A 22,045-nucleotide genomic window follows, 5' to 3' on the forward strand; every position below is an offset into this window, starting at 1 on the left:
TGACTTTGCTCCTGTGCTCCATTCTTGGCTTCCGCAGACACCTGGCCTTGTCTGCATCTTTATGGCTTCTCTTCCCTCCCTGGAGCTTTATCTCTGAGGCAGCCTTGTCTCTTGGTGGGGTTCATTTTGCATGCATGGAACTTAACAGGCTCCACAAAATCTGGAGAGAAACTCTGGCTTAGTTGAGCCCAGAGAGTCACAAACTACCTGTAGTCTAATGGGCTGTGATGGGGAAAAAAGGAACACAGTACAAAATTAGGTACCAGGACTGTTAGTAGAAGCCAGGTTCTCTTCGAAGGGGATGTAGGTGGGGAGGTCAGTGACTTGCATTTTTATACAGATGGTGATTAATGAACATCAGAAATTGCATAGGAAGAGGGCCAGGTGCAGTGGCTCATGCCTATAATCCCAGCACTTTGGGAGGCCAAGGCAGGTGGGTGACTTGAGGTCAGGAGTTCGAGACCAGCCTGGCCAACGTGATGAAACCCTGTTTCTGCTAACAGTACAAAAATTAGCTGGGTGTGGTCCCAGGCGCCTGTAATCCCAGCTCCTGGGAAGGCTGAGGCATGAGAATCGCTTGAGCCCAGGAGACAGAGGTTGCAGTGACCCGAGATCGCAGTACTGCACTCCAGCCTGGGCGACAGAGCGAGACGCCATCTCAAAAAAAAAAAAAAAAAAAAGAAAAAAAAAAAGAAAGAAAGAAATTGCATAGGAAGGGAGGATTACTAATAACATAGTACTGGGACAACTGGTTAATTATTGGTAAAATAAAAACAGTGAGATATTCACCTCTCAACTTGGACCAAAGGATAGTTCCTATGGATTAAAGAAACCCATAAAAATAGTAGAAAATTCGGTTATGTTATCCGGTTTCTAGATGGGAAAGAACTTCAGAATGTTACACTCATTTATTTTACAAACTTGGGATCAGATTACAATAATCTCTTCTGCTTTTTTTCCCACCTGACATGTAAGGAGCATTTATCTGTGTCATTATTTATAAACATGGTTTAATTTTATATTGTGTGTGCTGTTACAGGTTTTCTTTATTATAAAAATGCTATAACATACCTGTATTCATTTTCATTACTAAGAAAAGTTCTTACAAAGTTTTAAAGTAATGGAAGAAGTCACAAATCCCTTGACATATCCTTGAATCTTAGGTATTTTCAAATCAAAGAAGTTTGAACACTTAAAAACAAGTCAAATTGTACTGAAAGATTAATAGTGAAAAATCATCCCCTGCCTTCCTCTCTCCTCCCCAGAGGTAATTATTTTTATCTCTTTCATCATTTTCTTCTACTTCTAATACTTTGATTTCTCATGTAGACATTTTCTGTTAACTTTCTATCATGGAAAATGAAGATTGAACTCTTCAGCCATTTTCTATTTCTTTCCCCCCATTCTCCCCATATAATTAAGTCACTATTTGTAATAAATGAAAAATAAGTGTTTACATAATTTTGACTATGTAAATATCATTCAGTGAAAAACCAAGTTATGTTCTGTAATTGCATTTTCTTGTAAAACCTTTTGTTTCCCTTGGAATTAATTACTGCCTTTCTTTTGAAATCATACACTATGTTGTCCATACAGCCTTAATTTTTTTCAAGTATTCATCTCCTCATCCTTAAAACTCATCCTTATTATGAAGTTAGTTTCTCCTATTTATATATTTATATAGTTATTTTTTCTCCTTAAAAAAAAATGAAAACCTGGGTTTGAGTCCCATCTTCCCTTTCTGCTTCTTGGAACTCATCTTTTAACCCTCCTTCCTTACTACTTAGATTTTCTTTCTTTGTAAAAAAGTTGTTTTCTCTCATCTTTTCTTCCCTTGGAGCTCTCTCCTAGAATCTTCCTTTTTCCTGCTTGATTCTGGTTTGCTAGCACTCTTAACCTTTTGCACTGCAGTAAGCTTAGACTTTCTTTAAGCTGCTTTCCCTAGTTATTTACATTGTTTTCTGTAGTTCTATGTGGGCAGCAAGCCACCCAGGTGCCAAGGCAAGAGACTGAAGGCACAGGCTGTTCCAGTATAATAAAGAAAATACTTAAAATAAGAATAGTTATATTAGACATAGAATATAGACATGATTATATATGAATATTATTAATCATTAGTTTGTAGCATTACTCTTTATTCAAATATTATAACAATCTCTGTTCTACAATTATAACCTAGGAAAAACCAGGTCATACAGAGATAGGAGCTGAAGGGACACGGTGAGAAGTGACCAGAAGACGAGTGTGAGCCCTCTGTCACGCCCAGACAGGGCCACTAGAGGGCTCCTTGGACTAGCGGTAACGCCAGTGCCTGGGAAGGCACCTGTTACTTAGCCGACCTTGGTCTAGCGGTAGCGCCAGTGCCTGAGAAGGCACCCGTTACTTTGCAAACCAGGAAAGGGAGTCTCCCTTTCCGTGGGGGAGTTAGAGAAGACTCTGCTCCACCACCTCTTGTGGAAGGCCTGACATCAGTCAAGCCCACCCGCAGCCATCCAGAGGCCTAACCGTCTCCCTGTGATGCTGTGCTTCAGCGGTCACGCTCCTGGTCCACTTTCATGTTCCGCCCTGTACATCTGGCTCCGCCTTCTAGATAGCAATAGCAGAATTGGTGAGAATATTAAAGTCTTTGATCTCTCTGAGAAATGCATAGAAGAAATAATGTAAGCTGTCCCCTCTCTCTCTCTGCCTCGGCTACCAAACAGGGAAGGGCCCCCTGTCTGGTGGACACATGACTCGCTTGACCTTACCTATCATTGGAGATGACTCACACTCCTTACCCTGCCCCCTTGCCTTGTATACAATAAATAACAGCGCAGCCAGACATTCAGGGCCACTACCAGTCTCCGCATCTTGGTGGTAGTGGTGTCCCCTGTGCCCAGCTGTCTTTTCTTCAATCTCTTTGTCTTGTGTCTTTATTTCTACCATCTCTCGTCTCCACACACGAGGAGAAAAACCCACAGGCCCTGTAGGGCTGATCCCTACAGTTCTATGCTGTGTTCTTTCTTGGTTAAGTTTTCTTTTTTCCTGGAGGCTATTTTTGGTATCTTAAGACAGTTTGTATGGGAAGTAAATTTGAGTCCTTGCAGTTCAGAGTATGCTACTTTTGTTTTTGTGAGGTGGAGTCTTGCTTTGTCGCCCAGGCTAGAGTTCAGTGGCGGGATCTCAGCTTGCTGCAACCTCTGCCACTTGGGTTCAAGTGATTCTCGTGCCTCAGCCTCCCGAGTAGCTGGGACTACAGGTGTGTGCCACCGTGCCCAGCTCATTTTTGTATTTTTAGTAGAGATGGGGTTTTGCTATGTCGGCCAGGCTGGTCTCGAACTTCTGACCTCAAGTATTCTACCCGCCTTGGCCTCCTAAAGTGCTGAGATTACATGTGTGAGCCACTGCACCCAGCCCAGAGTATGCTACTTTTTTTTTGAGATGGAGCCTTGCTCTGTTGCCAGGCTGGAGTGCGGTGGCACGATCTTGGCTTATTGCAGTCTCCACCTCCTGGGTTCAAGTGATTCTCCCGCCTCAGCCTCCTGAGTAGCTGGGACTACGGGCACACGCCACCATGCCTGACTAATTTTTTGTGTTTTAGTAGAGACAGGGCTTCACCATGTTGGCCAGGCTGGTCTCGAACTCTTGATCTGAGGTGATCTGCCCACCTTGGCCTCCCGAAGTGCTGGGATTACAGGCGTGAGCCACTGTGCCTGGCCCAGAGTATGCTACTTTTCTATCTTCACACTTGATTGATGGTTTGACTGGGTGTAGAATTTTATGTTGAGAAGAATTCCCCTAGGAATTTTGAAGGTATTACTCCATTTCCTTCTAGCATCCAGAGTTTTTGGCCATTCTTCACATAATTTGCTATTCTTCACATACCTTGCTATTCTATTTCTTGTTCCATTAACTTGGAGGCTGGCCTTTCACCCAACCCCCAGCAGCTTGAATTTCAGCAGGGTGTGCCCTGCTGTGGATGTTGCAGTGGGACACTTAGGACTGTTTTAGTTGGAGACTTGATTTTGGGTTTATTCTTGGAGCTTCTCTGTTTCTCCAGAAAGCCTATTATTTGGGTATCAAACCTCCTAGATTGATCTTACAGGTTGCTATGGAAATAGGTATTTTTCATCTTAATTTTTTTCTTCTTTCTGGGAGATTTCTTATCTTCCAAGCTTTCTTGTTGAATTTTTTCTTTTTTTCTCTTTTTTTTTTTTTTTTTTTTTTGAGACGGAGTCTGGCTCTGTTGCCCAGGCTGGAGTGCAGTGGCGCAGTCTCGGCTCACTGCAAGCTCCGCCTCCTGGGTTCACACCATTCTCCTGCCTCAGCCTCCTGTGTAGCTGAGGCTACAGGCGCCCACCACCATGCCTGGCTAATTTTTGTATATTTAGTAGAAATGGGATTTCACCGTGTTAGCCAGGATGGTCTCGATTTCCTGACCTCGTGGTCCGCCTGCCTCGGCCTCCCAAAGTGCTGGGATTACAGGCTTGAGCCACTGCACCCGGCCTGAATTTTATTTTCATAGTTGTATTTTAGAATTTCAAATATCTCTTTGTTTTTCTGTGTTCTCTTTTCATAGCACACAGGGTTTCTCTGTTGGGTATCTTCTCTTCCCTTGCCTTATGTCTGTGGCCCTGCAGAGGGCCATTCATTTCTGTGTGTTTTGGATTCATTCATACTGGATGCTTCCCTGGGTCCAGGGGTTCCTTGGTGCTGGGCTCGTGTTTAAGAGCACGACACTTAGAGCTGCCTGCAACCATGGGTGGGGAGGCTTGGTTATCCACCCTCCTTTGCATTAGAGGGTCTGATTGGCCATTGACCACTTAATTGGGGGAATCTCCAGAAGACTCACTGGAGAGGTTTTTCCTCTGGAGCACTTCAGGTCTTCAGGAAATATCCTTTGATTCATCTGGGCCAGTGTTCTGCATGAGGGGACAGGGAGTGGTAACTGCCCCCACCCTGTGCCAGGGAGATCCCCCTCCCTCCTCTCACCTGGCACAGAGATCTGACCTTTTAACCTGCTTACCTGTATTCACCTTCTCATTTGACTTCAGTGGAATCTGGTACCTCCTTTCTTTTATTTTGGGCCCGTCTCTTTCTTTCCTCATCCCCCTGGCTGCACTGTGGGACGTGGCTTCTTCCTCTCAGCTAAGAGTAAGACTAGTGGGCATCTGTGGGGTTACTCTGTGGTCTGAGCTGCTCTCTGAGGCCACTGATGCTCCTGTCACTCTAGCACTGTGAGATAGGGGGGTAGCTAGCTGGTAGGTAGCAGGGCTGGGATTTGAACCCAGGTTGTGTGATGTCCGTATACTGCCTCCTTCACTGCCTCTCTCACTCCTTTCTTGCACATGTCCTCTTGTCTTATTTGGTATCTTTTTAAGAGGGAATAAAGGAGTGCATTTAGTCAGCTAGCTAGCTTTTTTCTTTTTCTTTTTTTTCCTTTCTTTTTTTGTTTTTGAGACAGGGTCTAGCTCTGTCACCCAGGCTGGAGAGCAGTGGTATGATCTTGGCTCACTGCAACATGTGCCTCCCAGGCTCACGCCATCCTCTCACCTCAGCCTCCAGAGTAGCTGGGACTACAGGTGCACACCACCACACCCGGCTAATTTTTGCATTTTTCGTAGAGATGGGCTTTTGCCATGTTGCCCAGGCTGGTCTCGAAATCCTGAGCTCAATCTCCCTGCCTCGGCCTCCCAAAGTGGTGGGATTACAGGCGTGAGGGACTGCGCCTGGCCTGGTTGGCTTTCTTTCCCATTCAATTTTGAACCTTATCTGAGTCTCTTGTAAGTTAATTAGTTTCCCTCTTTGGCATGTGGCATGGAAGGGATAAGAAGTATAGAATTTGTTTTGAGGTTAACAGGCTCAGACAACACCAAGGGAAACAACTGCAAAATAGCAGTAGATTTGACTAGTTTCATCCCAGATTCTAACTTTCATTCTCTAACATTTTATTTTAAAAACTAGGTCAGAAAAAGAGTGCACGCCAGTATCACGTACAGTTCTTTGGTGACGCCCCAGAAAGAGCTTGGATATTTGAGAAGAGCCTCGTAGCTTTTGAAGGAGAAGGACAGTTTGAAAAATTATGCCAGGAAAGTGCCAAGCAGGCACCCACGAAAGCTGAGAAAATTAAGGTGATAGATGACCCTTCAGTCTACTTTTAGACCAGAAATTTAATTTTTATTCTTTAAGTTAACTTATTTTTGTTTTGAACTTATACTTGCTCGAAATATTGTAATGGCTTAACAATCTCTTTCATTGTTGACTTTTGCCCAAGGATGCCATGTTACAATATGATAAAGTTCTTTTAGAGACACAACTGATTTTTTTTTGCTCATTTGATGACTCTCAGAGATAACTTGTTTTAGAATTTATATATACACATATATGTACGTATATATGTGTATACACACACACAGACAGAGGGATTAATGTAATGTGATAGGAATTGATTTCTGGTTTAAAGAAACAATAAAGGTATTATGTTGGGCTGAATTCTAAAATTGGTTTTTAAAAGTTTTTATTTCTATTATTTTTTAAAATTTTTTTGAGATGGAGTTTCACTCTTGTCGCCCAGGCTGGAGTGTAATGGCATGATCTTGGCTCATTGCATCCTCTGCCCCTCCGGGTTCAAGCGATTCTCCTGCCTCAGCCTCCCAAGTAGCTGGAATTACAGGTGCCTGCCACCACGCCTGGCTAATTTTTGTATTTTTAGTGGAGACAGGGTTTCACCAGGTTGGCCAGACTGGTCTTGGACTCCTGACCTCAGGTGATGTGTCTGCCTCAGCCTCCACAGGTGCTGGGATTACAGGTGGGAACCACCACGCTGGCCAAGTTTTTTATTTCTAAAATTATGTGAAAATGTAAAAGTATTCTTTTTTTTTTTTTTTTTTTTGAGACAGGGTCTTGCTCTGTCACCCCAGGCTAGAGTGCAGTGGCGTGGTCTCGGGTTACTGCATCCGCTGCCTCCCAGTTCAAGTGATTCTCATGTCTCAGCCTCCCTAGTAGCTGGGACCACAGGCATGCACTACCATGCCTGGCTTATCTTTTGTATTTTAGTAGAGATGGGGTTTTGCCATGTTGACCAGGCTGGTCTTAAACTCCTGGCCTCAAGTGATCCATCTGCCTTGACACCCATAAGTGCTGGAATTATAGGCATGAATCATGTGCCTAGGAAAAGTAGTTAACTTTTATGTTTGTGTAGTGAAACTTACAGTGTCTCTTTTTTTTTTCCCAGCTATTGAAACCAATTTCAGGGAAATTGAGGGCCCAGTGGGAAATGGGCATTGTTCAAGCAGAAGAAGCTGCAAGCATGTCAGTGGAGGAGCGGAAAGCCAAGTTCACCTTTCTCTATGTGGGGGACCAGCTTCATCTCAACCCTCAAGTAGCCAAGGAGGCTGGCATTGCTGCAGAGTCTTTGGGAGAAATGGCAGAATCCTCAGGAGTCAGTGAAGAAGCTGCTGAAAACCCCAAGTCTGTGAGAGAAGAGTGCATTCCCATGAAGAGAAGGCGGAGGGCCAAACTGTGTAGCTCTGCAGAGACCCTGGAGAGTCACCCCGACATAGGGAAGAGTACTCCTCAAAAGACGGCAGAGGCTGACCCCAGAAGAGGAGTAGGGTCTCCTCCTGGGAGGAAGAAGACCACAGTCTCCATGCCACGAAGCAGGAAGGGAGATGCAGCATCCCAGTTTTTGGTCTTCTGTCAAAAACACAGGGATGAGGTCAGTACTAAGTTGTGTTTCATGCTAGCAAGTTTCAGAATTTGAGGAACATCCCTTCAGTGCAGAATCATCTGTTTCTCAGCATTATCAGGAGACTCTAACATGAGCCTTGCATAGATTTTAGATCTAATAAATAAGTATTAGGGAACAGCCATTCTGACCCTTGAGGGAAAAGATACTCGACTTGCACTCTGGGGTCTTAAAATATCCTTCCTAATGTGGATAAGAAGATACCGAGAACAGGCCAGGCACAGTGGCTCATGCCTGTAATTTCAGTACTTTGGGAGGCCAAGGCGGGAGGATTGCTTCAGCTCAGGAGTTTGAGACCAGCCTGGGCAACATGGTGAAACCCCATCTCTACAAAAATTAGCCGGGTGTGGTGGCACATGCCTGTAGTCCCAGCTGCTTGGGAGACTGAGACAGGAGGATCCCTTGAGTCCTGGAGGCAGGAGGATCCCTTGAGTCCTGAAGGTGGGGTTTGCAGTGAGTCGTGATGGCATCACTGCACCGTAGCCTGGGTGACAGCAGAGCGAGACTGTGTCTCAAAAAAAAAAAAAAAAAAAAACTAGCACAGAGGGAAGTGGGTCTCAACAGGCTGCGCTTTGCTTGAAGCGTGTGGTCATGTCCTTAACGTGTGACTCCAGGTTAGCACTTTCTCCAGCAGTCTGTTCTGAAGCTTCCAGTGCAGGATATGCTCATCTGTAAAGCTCATTGTGTCCACTGGCACTGAGGGTGTTGATTTATTTCCCTGACATTTAAAAGGGTAGCAATGTGATTAAGACATTTATATAATTTTCTTAATTGTTTGCATAAAATGCACAGTCTGTTAGTACATAATAAAGGCTGTAAAGAACTGAAGGAGTTGGGTTCCCCACTTCCCACTTTTGGTTATGTTACTTGGAGTGGATCATATTCTCATGCTTAAAAGGCTTTTTTTAAGTGTTCATTTTAATTTTACTTCCATAGGAATTTTCCATTCAGTAGTCTAAATCTATGTGGTGATTAAAGGTATCAAAAACAATAGTGTTGGCCAGGCACAGTGGCTCACACCTGTAATCCCAACACTTTGGGAAGCTGAGGCGGGTGGATCATGAGGTCAGGAATTTGAGACTATCCTGGCCAACATGATGAAACCCCGTCTCTACTAAAAATACAAAAAAAAATTAGCTGGGCATGGTGACGCGTGCTTGTAATCCCAGCTTCTCAGGAGGCTGAGGCAGGAAAATTGCTTGAACCAGGGAGTCGGAGGTTGCAGTGAGCCAAGATTACACCACTGCACTCCAGCCTGGCGACAGAATGAGACGCCGTCTCAAAAAAAAAGGAAAAAAAGTCTGTCTTCAAAAAATTTTCCATGAATCTTTAACCAGCATGTATTTTGTGGCAGGCAGTGTGGCACAATAAGGAGCCATGAGTAGTTCAGGCAGAGATGCATAAATGGGTGACTGTGAGTATTCTAATAAATCTACTGGACATGATTTTTTTGTCCCTATATGGGATCTGGAAATTCTGCCAGAGAAAGGCATTTGAGTGATGCCTTCAAGAGTGGCTGGGCGTGGTGGCTCCCGCCTGTAATCTCAGCACATTGGGAGGCTAAGGTGGGCAGATCACCTGAGGTTAGGAGTTTGAGGCTAGTCTGGCCTACATGGTGAAACCTTGTCTCTACTAAAAATACAAGAATTAGCTGGGCATGGTGGTGTGCGCTTGTAATCCCAGCTACTCAGGAGGCTGAGGCAGGAGAATCACTTGAACCGGGAGGCCACAGTGAGCTGAAATCATGCCGCTGCACTCCAGCCTGGGTAATCCTTAGGGCTTTTCTCAGGAATGCAAGGGTGATTTGATGTTAGAAAGCTATTATTGTGACTTACTGTGTAATGCTCATCTCCATAGAGGGAGAAAAGGCATTTGATAAAATTCATTGCTTTTTTTAATTAAGTAAACACCCTGTATTTATGGGGTATATGTGATATTTGGTACGTGCATTAAAGTTCATTGCTTTTTCTCCTTGGGAGGTTGAGGTGGGAGGATTGCTTGAGCCCAGGAGTGTTGAGGTTGCAGTGAGCTGTGATTGTGCCACAGCTTTCCAGCTTAGGTGACAGAGTGAGACTCTGTCTCATAAAAAGAAAAGAAAGGCCGAGTGTGGCAGCTCACACCTGTCATCCCAGCACTTTGGGAGGGTGAGGCAGGAGGATTGCTTGAGCCCATGAGTTTGAGACCAGCCTGGGCAACATGAAACCCTGTCTCTAAAAAAAAAAAAATTTTTTTTAATTAGCCAGATGTGATGGCATGTGCCTGTAGTCTCAACTACTCAGGAGGTTGAGGCAAGAGGATTGCTCGAGTCCAGAAGTTTAAGGCTGTGGTGAACCATGATCATGCCATTGCACTCTAGTCTGGGCCACAGAGTGAGACCCTGTCTTAAACAAAAAAATTATTGCTTATTGATAAAAGGTTAGTAAACCAGGAATAAAAGGGAACTTCCTAAATCTGTTTAAGGATATGTATCAGAAGCTTTCATCAAGGATATTACACATGAAACTTTAGAAGCATTCTCCTTAGGCCAGGCATGGTGGCTCACACCTGTAATCCCAGCACTTGGGGAGGCTGAGGCGGGTAGATCACTTGAGGTCAGGAATTCAAGACCAGCCTGGCCAACATGGTGAAACCCCGTCTCTACCAAAATTATAAAAAATAAGCTGGGCATGGTGGCGTGCGCCTGTACTTCCGGCTATGTGGGAGGCTGAGGCAGGAGAATTACTTGAACCCAAGAGGTGGAGGTTGCAGTGAGCCAAGATCGTGCCACTGCACTCCAGCCTGGCGACAGAGCGAGACTCCGTCTCAAATTAAAAAAAAAAAGCATTCTCTTTAAAATCATGAACGAGGGCCAGGCACAATGGCTCATATCTGTAATCCTAGCATTTTGGGAGGCTGAGACAGGTGGATCAATGAAAGCTGGGAGTTTGAGACCAGCATGGCCAACATGGTGAAACCCCGTCTCTACTAAAAATACAAAATTTTACCAGCTGTGGTGGCGAGCGCCTGTAATCCCAGCTACTTGAGAGGTTGAGAAAGGAGAATCGGTTGAACCTGGGAGACGGAGGTTGCAGCGAGCCAAAATCACGCCAATGCACTCCAGCCTGGGCAACACAGCAAGACTCTGTCTCAAAAAAAAAAAAAAAAAAAGAATAAGACAGGAAACCATTTTTCACCATTTAATAAACGTTGTACGGAAAATAGTAGCCAATATTAGGCCGGGCGCGGTGGCTCACGCCTGTAATCCCAACACTTTGGAGGCCGAGGTGGGTGGATTACTTGAGGTTAGGAGTTCCAGACCAGCCTGGCCAACATGGTGAAATCCCATCTCTACTAGAAATGAAAAAATTAGCCAGGCGTGGTGATGCGCGCTTGTAATCCCAGCTACTCAGGAGGCCGAGGCAAGAGAATTGCTGGAACCTGGAGGCAGAGGTTGCCGTGAGCTGAGATCACACTACTGCACTGCAGCCTAGACAATAGAATGAGTCTTCGTCTCCAAGAAAATACTAGCCAGTATTATAAAGGAATAAATAAAGCTGTCATTGTTTGCAGAAGTCTATGTAGAAAACTCAAGAGAATGTACAGAAAATCTTTTAGAATTAATAGAGTTCACCAGGATATAAAATTAACATACAAGTGCAGCATCAAAGAGGAAATGTAATGTTAAAAAAGATACCATTGATAATAGAAACCAAAATGTCAGGTACTGCGGAATCAATATTACGAAATATGCATGTAACTTTAGAGAAAAATAACTGATATTTTAGCAGACCTCAATAAAGATGTATTTATATATAGGAAGATTCAAGCTTCTGAAGTTGTCAATTCTCCCTTTAATAATCTATAAATTCAGTATAATTCTAATAAAACTTCCAACAGGAATTTATTTGCCCTTTGTAAGTGGATGCTGCTGTGGCCACATTTGAAGAGAGGCTTGGCCTGAGGATTTGCTCTACCAGATAGGAAGTTATCTTATTTAAAATAGCAGTATTTGGCCAGGTGTGGTGGCTTACGCCTGTAATCCCAGCACTTTGGGAGGTCAAGGCAGGCGGATCACCGGAGGTCAGGAGCTCCAGACTAGCCTGGCCAACATGATGAAACCTTATCTCTACTAAAAATATAGAAATTAGTTGGGCATGGTGGCAGGCGCCTGTAATCCCAGCTACTCGGGAGGCTGAGGCTGGAGAATTGCTTGAACCTGATAGGCGGAGGTTGCAGTGAGCTGGGATTGTGCCATTGTACTCCAGCCTGGGTGACAGAACAAGATTCTGTCTCATAAAAAATAAAATAGCAGTATTCACGCAGGGCAGTGATATGGCCCAAGACGGGGCCCAGAACAGGCTCTCGAGCATGTGGACATGGATGGGAAAGCGCTGCAGGCCAGTTGCGTGGGAGGTCTGCACTGGACGTGGTGCTGGGACCACTGTGATTTATGAACTTGGCCAGCATGGGAGAGGAGCTTTGTCACCATGGGAGAGGGAAGGATTTCTTAAATAAGCCAAACTAATAACAGGCTATAAAGGCTATAAAACTATGTATGTTAAAATGAAAATCTAGGCCAGGCATGGTGACTCACGCCTGTAATCCCAGTACTTTGGGAGGCTGAAGCGGGAGGATTGCTTGAGCCACTGCACCACTTCAGCCTGGGTGACAGAGACCCTGGCTCAAAAAAAAAAAAAAAAAAAAAATTCTTATGTGTCAAGGACACCATCGACACAGTGAAAGGACAAATTCTGTAAAGAGCCGAAACAATTCTGAAGGAGAAGGGCAAGTTTCTTGGAGAGCCAGTAAGTGCATGAAGAGATGCTGCTCAACTGCGGCCATGCCCAGGAAGCTGTATGTTACGATCCTGGTGGGATGGTCCTTCACAGTCATCCTTCACAGTCATCAGGTGAGCAGACATCAAACTCAGAACAGCCAGGGATTGAGAAGATGAGCAACAGTGGGACTCCTCATACAATGCTGGTGAAACATCATTTATTACACCTGTTTTGAGAGAAATTTGGCAAGATCTAGTGAAATTGAAGATGTGCCTTTTTTTCTCTTACAGTTTTACTCCTAGATATTTACCCTAGAGTAATTTTGCCCTTGCACGCAGAGAGACCACAGTGTCCAAAACCAAAAAGCTACCCAGTGACAGACTATGGTATGTTCCTACAGTGTAACTACACATCAATTAAAGTGAACTCATTGGATGTCAAAGCAGAAACAAATTGCTGAAGGGTATGCAGATTCTATCACTTGTGTAGTTTGAAAAGGGCCACATACCCACAACTGAGTTTAACTTATCCCTTTCTCTGCGTCCATCTAAAAAGTGTAAGTGGGCAGCTGTGAAGGTATGTGCCTCTCTCCAGGAGCCAAGAGGTCTATCCAGGCAGGAGCCATTAACACCTGGTGGAGTAGCTGTGGTCATTGTTGGATATAAAATGATACAAAGCAGGCCAGGCGCAAGGTGGGAGGATCACTTGAATCCAGGAGTTTGAGACCAGCCTGGGCAACATAGCAAGATCTTATCTCTACCAAAAATAAAAATAAAATAAAATGGTATAAAGTAATCAGCAATGTGTGTACAGCCACCGTTTCAGGCATGTTGGGGGAGGGTGCAGTGGCAAGCTCTGAATGGACACTCCAGTGTTTGACAGCTAGGCCTGCGCAGGGTTGGTGAGGTGCTGTATGCTCTTGGGCCCTGGAAGCAGGGTAAGGCGGTGTCGGGTGGGAACCGCCCCGTCAGCCACTCTGGTATGTTGCTCGGCTGTGTCTCTACAACCTGTTCACTAGTTTGGAATTGTGAAAAAAATGGGTACCTGAGAATTGAAGCCACTGTCCAAAGACCACCCTATTGGCTTTTTGGGACCCAAATTGATCTCAGATGGTCCTTCTAGTGCTAAGAAATGTGCTAAAAATGAAAGTCTGGATTGGCACTATACTAAAAGTAATATAAAACCAAACTGAAGGTATACAGTTAAAACTGAGTTCTGGGCAGAGTGCAGTGGCTCACACCTGTAATCCCAGCACCTTGGGAGGCCGAGGAGGGTAGGATGCTTGAGGTTGGTAGTTTGAGAACAGCCTGGGCAACACAGTGAGACTCTCATCTCTACAAAAAAAAAAACAAAACAAAACAAGAAAATTAACGGGGCATGATGGTGCACACTTGTAGTCTTAGTTACTCAGGAAGCTGAGGCAGGAGGACCACTTGAGCCTGGAAGGTCGAGGCTGCAGTGAGCCATCATTGCGCCACTGCACTCCAGTTTGGATGACAGAGCGAGACCCTGTCAAAGCAAAAACTACAAAAAATTGAGCTCTGTGTTAATGTCCAACACTCTGCCCTGCCCACCCCTGGTTCCTGATGTAAGGCCCATGGGGCCTCCCTTCCCTCCCCTGGACTCTGGCTGGGTGGTTTTGAAGAATTTTCTGTTATCGGAAAAGCAATGACTATTAGGATGCTCTTTAACTGTTCTGTAATAAGCAATTCTAAACTTGAGGAAGCTCCTCCCTGCTTCCATCTGTAACCTAGGTCTTTCTACATTGTTTTTTATTTTTCGGGAGTGCTGGTGCACACAAGGATGGTTTTTGTTGGCTTGTCAGTTAACCAATGGCCAACCCTTGAGGGATAGAGTCAGGTGGAACTTCCTTGCTGCTTTCTGTGCCTTCCTTTTCTAGGGTCCCTAGATGTAAGGCTGACTTCAGGACTTTTTGTTGCTACTTGCTGACTCTTTAGAGGTCATTTTCTTTTTCTTTCTTTTTTTTTTTTTTTTTTTTTTTTTTTGAGATGGAGTTTTGCTTTGTCACCCAGGCTGGAGTGCGAAGGCGCCACCTCGGCCCACTGCAACCTCCTCCCCCCGGGTTCAAGCGATTCTCCTGCCTCAGCCTCCCGAGTTGCTGAGACCACAGGCACATGCCACCACATCCGGCTAATTTTTGTATTTTTAGTAGAGATGGGGTTTCATTATGTTGGCCAGGCTGGTCTTGAACTCCTGACCTCAGGTGATCCACCCGCCTTGGCCTCCCAAAGTCCTGGGATTACAGGCCTGAGCCACTGCACCCAGCCTAGAGGTCACTTTCTAGCTTCCTTTCTCCGTACTAGTGAAGAAATGTACTTCTTTTTATATATCTATATATATATTTTTTTTTGTTTGTTTGTTTGTTTGTTTGTTTTTGTTTTTGTTTTTGAGACAGGGTCTTACTCTGTCGCCCAGGCTGGAGTGCAGTGGTGCAATCATGGCTTGCCACAGCCTTGACCTCCCTAGGCTCAAGTGATTCTCCCACCTCAGCCTCCCTAGTAGCTGGGACTACAGCCATGTGCCACCACGCCTGGCTAACTTTTCTATTTTTTATAGGGATGAGGTCTTGCTATGTTGCCCAATCTGGACTCAAACTCCTGGCCTTAAGCGATCCTCCTACCTCAGCCTCCCACAGTGCTGGGATTACAGACATGAGCCAGTGCACCTGGCCGGCTCCAGTATGAGCAGCATTTTCACTAGCAGGCTTTTTGGGCCTGAATTTTTTTTTTTTTTTTTTTTTTTAAGACGTAGTCTCGCACTGTTGCCAGGCTGGAGTGCAGAGGCATGATCTCGGCTCACTGCAACCTCCGTCTCCCAGGTTCAAACGATTCTCCTGACTCAGCCTCCCGAGTAGCTGGGATTACAGGTGCCCACCACCACGCCCAGCTAATTTTTGTATTTTTAGTAGAGCCAGGGTTTCACCATGTTGGCCAGGCTGGTCTCAAACTCCTGACCTCGTGATCCGCCTGCCTCAGCCTCCCAAAGTGCTGCGATTACAGGTGTGAGCCACCGTGCCTGGTTTGGCTTGAATTTTTAATTTTTTTTATTTTTATTTTTGAGACAGGGTCTCACTCTGTTGCCCAGGCTGGATTGCAGTGGCACAATCACAGCTCACTGCAACCTCCGCCTTCCGGGTTCAAGCGATCCTCCCCCCTCAGCCTTCCTAGTAGCTGGGACTACTGGTGCACGCCACCACACCCAGCTAATTGTTGTATTTTTAGTAGAGACAGGGTTTCACCATATTGGCTAGGCTGGTCTCAAACACCTGACCTCAGGTGATCTGCCCACCTCGGCCTCCCTAAGTGCTGGGATTATAGGTGTGAGCCATTGCACCAGCCTGAGTTTTTAATTTTTAAAGGCTTTTCTACCTTTCCTGATCCTAATTTTTACACATCCATTAGATTGGAACCAGTGCTTTATGTCAGTTCTTTTTACATGCCTTGGTATTAGTTATCTATTGTTGCATAACATGTTACCTCAAAACTTAGTGGCTGAAAACAACAACATGCATTTACTGTCTCACAGTTTCTGTGGGCCAGGAATTTGGCAACCGCTTAGCTTAGTGGTTCTGCCTTAGGGTCTCTTGAAGTTGCATTTAAGATGTTACCTGGGGCTACATCATCCTAAGGCTTGACTGATGCTGGAGGATCTGCTTCCAGGGTACCTTCTCTCACTCATGCTGCTGGCAGGAGGCCTCGGTCCTTCACCATGTGGCCCTCTCCACAGGGCTGCTGGTGTGTCCTCACAACATGATGGGGGCTGGCTTTCTCCAGAGTAAGTGATCCAAGAAAGAGCAAGGTGGATATCTTTTATGCCCTACACTTGGAGTCATATGCAACCATTTCTGCACTATGTTATTGACTACGCCGTAAGCAGTAGTGGGGGCTTGAGCTCTAGGAGGCAGGGCTCACAGAGGGGTTGGGGGTCGTCTTGGAGGGTGGATACCTAAACATTCTTCGCTGAATCCTGAAAGCAAAAGAAAACTCTAAAAAGATGTTGGGGGGAGCACAGTGCAGTGCCTCATGCCTGTAATCCCAGCACTTTGGGAGGCCATGGCGGGCAGATCACTTGAGGTCAGGAGTTCGAGACCAGCCTGGCCCACATGGTGAAACCCCCATCTCTACTAAAAATACAAAAAGTAGCCAGGTGTGGTGGTGCATGCCTATAATCCCAGCTACTCAGGAGGCTAAGGTGGGAGAATCGCTTGAACCCAGGAGGCAGAGGTTGCAGTGAGCTGAGATCACGTCACTGCACTCCAGCCTGGGCCACAATGAGACTCTTATCTCAGAAAAAAAAAAAAAAAAAAAAAAAAAAAAAAGCCGTGTAGGGAGCAGGCAGGATGAAGGAGGGGAATGTAATCTGAAGACTCTAATTTGTAGAGTCTCCAATTACGTTGGCAATGTTTTAGTCAGCTGTGGGATTGTGGAAATTTGGTTTTCCATGTTTTTTTGGTATGTTTTAAATTTTTATTTATTTTTGAGACAGAATCTTACTGTTTCCCAGGCTGGAATGCAGTGGTGCAATCATAGGTCACTGCAGCCCTGAGCTCCAAGGCTGCAGTGATGCTTCCACCTCCACTTCCCAAGTAGCTGTGACTACAGGCACTTGCCACCATACCCAACTAATTTAAAAATAATTTCTTTTTTTTTTTTTTTCAAACACGATCTTTCTCTGTTGCCTAGGCTGGTCTCAAACTCCTGGCCTCAAGTGATCTTCCCACTTAGGCCTCCGAAAATGTTGGGATTATAGGCATGAGCCATGTGTCCAGCTTGTTTTTTGATATGTTAAGAATAAAGAAGTGGCCACTATTGAGTGCTTATCACATGTCAGATACCTTGCCAGTATGTTATTGTACAAAAGTATATCTAGTACTCCTCAGAATCACCTTATAAGGTAAATATAAATTATCTCTGCTTTATAGCTGGCTAACCTGAGCTTAAAAGTTGTAAGGTTTCAGTGAGATGATGCAGTCAGGAAGTAGGAGAATTGGGACCTGACCCTAATTGTGTGTGAGCATGCGCTTTTGTGTTTTTAGAACTCGTAACCATCATACCATACAGTTTCACCGTGAAGCTCGGAGACGTTAATGAGGAGTCATTGCTCTGTTAACCTCAGATGATGATGACACTTTCCTGGCTTCCCCGCAGAAGCCGTCTGTGGTGGCTGTCTTGTGAGGCGTGGTGGCTGTCTTGTGAGGCGAGGTGGCTGCAGGGCGCTTGTGACTCTGCTTTGACGAAGCAGTAAAGGACACTGTTAGCATTCATCCTAACTGGGGGCTCTGGAGTCATGGTGGGTGATGGGGTGCCAGGGGCAGAGGTGGGTGGGAGGGCAGCAGGCCCGTGAAGGAATGTGCTGTGTTTGAGGAGGTGAGAGGCAGATGTGTTGTGGATCCGAAGCCCTGTGCAGAAACTTCCACTGGTTGAAGAGCTGAGGCCCTTGGAGCTTGAAGAGTTGGGAGTGAGTGGGCTCATGGAGTGAGTCATGGCAGCAATCAGGGTAGGGCCTGCTGGGTTGGGAGGGGTGTGGCAGGAGTAGGCATATGCAGGGCTGGGGACAGGGACCCCACAGGGAACACTGGTGGAGTGCTGGGGGTCAGAGCCAGACCCAGAACTGCAGAAGGTGTCCTCAAGGTGGGAGGTCCCAGGCAGTTAGGCTGGGGGTGTCTGCAGGTTGTCTAGAGAGGTGGTGGGTGGGCATTGGTGGGTGTTGGTGTCCAGGCCAGGGTGAGGACAAGAGGGAGTGGAGCACATGACTCATCCAGGCAACAAGAGGGCAACAAGAGCCTCCCATGGTGGGGCCATGGGAGGCTATAAGAAGCCGTCTGTGGTGACTGTCTTGGGAGGAGGGGTTTGGGTTTGGGGGCAGAGGTTACCTGTATTGGCTGGGCAGGTGGTAGGTCCAGGTGGTAATGGTAACCAACCAACATTAACCTGATGGTTCCTTACCACTGCCAGGTGGAGTGTTACTGCCCCCGTTTCACAGAGTGGAGGCAGAGACAGTGCCTTCACTTGCCGAAGTCCACAGAACTACCCAGTAGAGGAGCCAGCATCAGAGCTGGTTGGTGCCGAGCCAGTCAGCAGACTTTCCAAAGGGCTGGTGAGCAGTGAGGGCTCTGTTCTGACTGCTCAGCTCTGCTGTTGTGGCAGGAAGACAGCCATGGGCAGCATGGGAACAAATGCATGGGGCTGACATCCAGTAAAACTTTGTGGGCACTGTTGTTTGAATTTCCTGTAATTTTTGTGTCATGAAATATTATGATGTTTTTCAGACATTGAACAGAAACAGGTGGTGGGTTACACCTGGCTGGCTGGCATTAGTGTGTCAGCCCTGTGCCCTGCTCTCGAGATCCGTGGCTCTCGGACTTGGGGACACATTAGCAACCCCTGGGAAACCTTTAACTCACTGAGGCCAGACCCGGTGGGTTGGGTTGATCTTGGGTGGGACCTAAGCACCATAGGATTTCAAACCCCCAGGTTATTACCAGGTGGAGCGAAGTCCCCAGGATCAGACTTCGGTGTGTCTGCGGATCATCCTAGAGACCTTGTGAAAGTGCAGATTCCTGGTAGGCAGGTTGGGGTGGGGCCCGGGAGTCTGCATTTCTAGCATGCTCCGGGTGCTGATGCTGGCAGCCCTGGTGTGGCTGGAGGGTAGGGAAGCCTCGTCTTTTGGCTGTGCAAGGTTGTCTCCGTGTGCTGGCCTGGGCTGTGACAGAAGCCAGCTCGCACTCCTTGGTGTGTGCCTTCACCCCTGCCCAGGGCCTGTACCTGAAAGACGAGGGTAGGTGCTGCCCAGTGAGGACACTGAGCTGAGCCCACCTCCATGTTCAGGGGCAGCGTTCCTGTGGCACTGGCTCTACAGCTAATTTTTCAGGGGTGCCTAGAGGCTGGGTCTTAAGTGAGTTAGTGGTTTTGGAAAAGTATATATATATTTTTATCATTTATCATTTCCAACATTTACAGAAGTAGAGTTGAATTGTTTTCACTGGCACTATTCTAATTTATGAGTTTTCATTGAGTCACAGCATCAGTTAAGCACTACTTTTCTTTGAAGCTTTTATGGACATAGTTCCACGATGTGGGAATAAAAATGCGACACACTAAGTTCTAAAGGGCCGTGCATTTGATTTCATGCAAAACAAAACCCAATGAGTTTTACGGATTTAACTTCTCATTGCACCTTCTCCCGTTCCCACAGGTGGTAGCTGAGCACCCAGATGCTTCAGGTGAGGAGATTGAAGAGCTGCTCAGGTCACAGTGGAGTCTGCTGAGTGAGAAGCAGAGAGCACGCTACAACACCAAGTTTGCCCTGGTGGCCCCTGTCCAGGCTGAAGAAGACTCTGGTAAACATAGCATTATGCTGATGTCCTCTGCTTGGGTTGATGTGTGTAGTGTAGCAAGCTGAGCTCTGATCTTGGAACCGTAGGGAAGTGTGTCCACTCTCCCTGTTTCTGACCCGTGGGGTTTGGGCCAGCGGTCCAAGTGCGTGTGGTCACAGTAAAAACAGCTTCTGCCATCTGCGTTTACTGGCTTATGAGAGCTATTCAATGTAGTGCCTTCTGGCCTGTGGCTCCCTTGCTCTCCTACCCAAGTTGAGCAGCCACTGTGGTCACTGCTGCTGATGGGGCTGTGTGAAGAGAGGACACAAGAAGGAAGGGGAGGGAAGGTCGTCTCTTGGATTCCAGGCTTACATGATGTGGTAGGGTCAGCCTTCAGGCCTGTGACTTCCGAGGAGGCAGCACTTTTCTTGCTTCTGAGAGCAATCCTCCTGGTTTCGGCTGTAGTCTGCACCTTACAGGGGTCCGGAGTGTGGGCAGCTCCTGGCTTGTTTGCCTGAGAGCTCATAGGGCAAGAAGGGTGACTGGACTGACCTTGAATTCAGGTATCCTTTGGTCCTTCCTAGGCCTTCGGCTTAAAAAAACCAAAAGTGCTAGTTTGCTTTGGGCAGTGGCAAGAGGAGGGAGAGCTGACATTGTAAGATTTGAAGATGTGTAACAGTGGTTAGATTTGTGATAAATATGTGCTTGGATGTAAATTGTGGAAAACTGAGATTTGAATGTAAAAATAACTGACATATTAGGGTATCAATTTAAAATTAAAAAAAAAAGTACTGTATATCTGAAGAGTCATCATTGAGGAGCTTTGGAGAGTCCAAACATAAAGTGTTTCAAGACTCACCTAAAGGGAAGTCGGGGCCCAGAAGCGAAAGGGTCTGGCCACATGTGCCTGCTGTCACCTTTCTCTTTCTCAGATGTTTTCATCTTGATTTAGGTGTTTCTAGATCTCTTCATCAGCTATCTCATTAATCTTGAATTTGTTCAACTTCCTCAGTGTTCATTGCAAATACTATAATTTAGAATAGCAAGGATATTTAGGACTTGTATATTTTCTTTAAAAGAAAATATACCTCACTCTATCAGTACACTAAATTTAGAGACGTGTTCCTTTTAAATGACTGGCTTATTTAAAAATGAGCCAGCTCTTCCTGAAGCCAGATTCAGCTTACCCTCGAAGTGTAAGCATAAATTTGATTGTGTTATATTTTGCTGAGTGCTTAGTGGATAGAAGTGACAGTTGAGTTTCTGCCCACAGTGTGTGTCAGGTGTATGCAGGTTCTTGGGTGTCCTTTAATCCTGACTTTCAGGTGACCCTGGTGCTAACAACTAGGATGGCGCACCACATCATTGTCACGCGCCCATGACCTCAGTGTTAGAAATCTACACAGATGTCTGGGCACGGTGGCTCACACCTGTAATCCCAGCACTTTGGGAGGCCAAGGTGGGTGGATCACTTGAGGCCAGGAATTCAAGACCAGCCTGGCCAACATGGTGAAACCCCATCTCTACTAAAAATACAAAAAAATTAGCCAGGCCTGGTGGTGCATGCCTGTAATCCCAGCTACTCGGGAGGCTGAGGCACGAGAATCTCTTGAACCCGGGAGGCAGAGGTTGCAGTGAGGCAAGATCACGCCACTGCACTCCAGCCTTGGCGCCAGAGCAAGAGTCAATCTCCAAAAAAAAAAAAAAAAAAAAATTCCAGCCCGGCGCAGTGGCTCCCGCCTGTAATCCCAGCACTTTGGGAGGCCGAGGTGGGCAGATCACCTGAGGTCGGGAGTTTGAGACCAGCCTGACCAGCATGGAGAAACCCCATCTCTACTAAAAATACAAAATTAGCCAGGCGTGGTGGCACATGCCTGTAATCCCAGCTACTTGGGAGGCTGAGGCAGGAGAATCGCTTGAACCTGGGAGGCGGAGATTGCAGTGAGCCGAGATCGTGCCATTGGATTCCAGCCAATGGAATGGCCAACAGGAGCGAAACTCCATCTCAAAAAAAATGAAAATCCATACAGATGCCCCTGTTGCTTGTTTCTGTAAGAAGCGGCTGCTGCCTCATCCTGGATGAATGGAGAGGTGCTCAGGAGGTGCTGTGTCGAGGATGTGCTGTGTCAAGGACCTCGCCTGTGGGAAAGCGAGGCGCGGGGCTGGCTTTGTGCTCACGAACGGGTGTTCTGAAGGCAGACCTGCCTGAGGGGGGCCTCGAGAGTT

General features: G+C 46.2%; 1 protein-coding gene across 22 annotated transcripts in view; it reads left to right on the top strand.

Moving 5' to 3' along the window:
* The window catches only part of NSD2 (nuclear receptor binding SET domain protein 2), a 110,800-nt gene that overhangs the window by 39,535 nt on the left and 49,220 nt on the right, over positions 1-22,045 (top strand). For 21 of the 22 annotated variants that reach the window (NM_001440892.1, XM_047416141.1, XM_047416137.1 and 18 more), the window contains 3 exons: positions 5,944-6,110; positions 7,214-7,696; positions 19,699-19,843. In NM_001440892.1, the coding sequence (NP_001427821.1) occupies positions 5,944-6,110; positions 7,214-7,696; positions 19,699-19,843 (795 nt within the window). Of the gene's footprint in view, positions 1-1,163; positions 1,268-5,943; positions 6,111-7,213; positions 7,697-19,698; positions 19,844-22,045 lie in introns of all 22 variants that reach the window. The other variant, NM_001440900.1, reaches the window with a different exon arrangement.

This window comes from Homo sapiens, chromosome 4, assembly GCF_000001405.40.
Source record: "Homo sapiens chromosome 4, GRCh38.p14 Primary Assembly".
Taxonomy (NCBI): domain Eukaryota; kingdom Metazoa; phylum Chordata; class Mammalia; order Primates; family Hominidae; genus Homo; species Homo sapiens.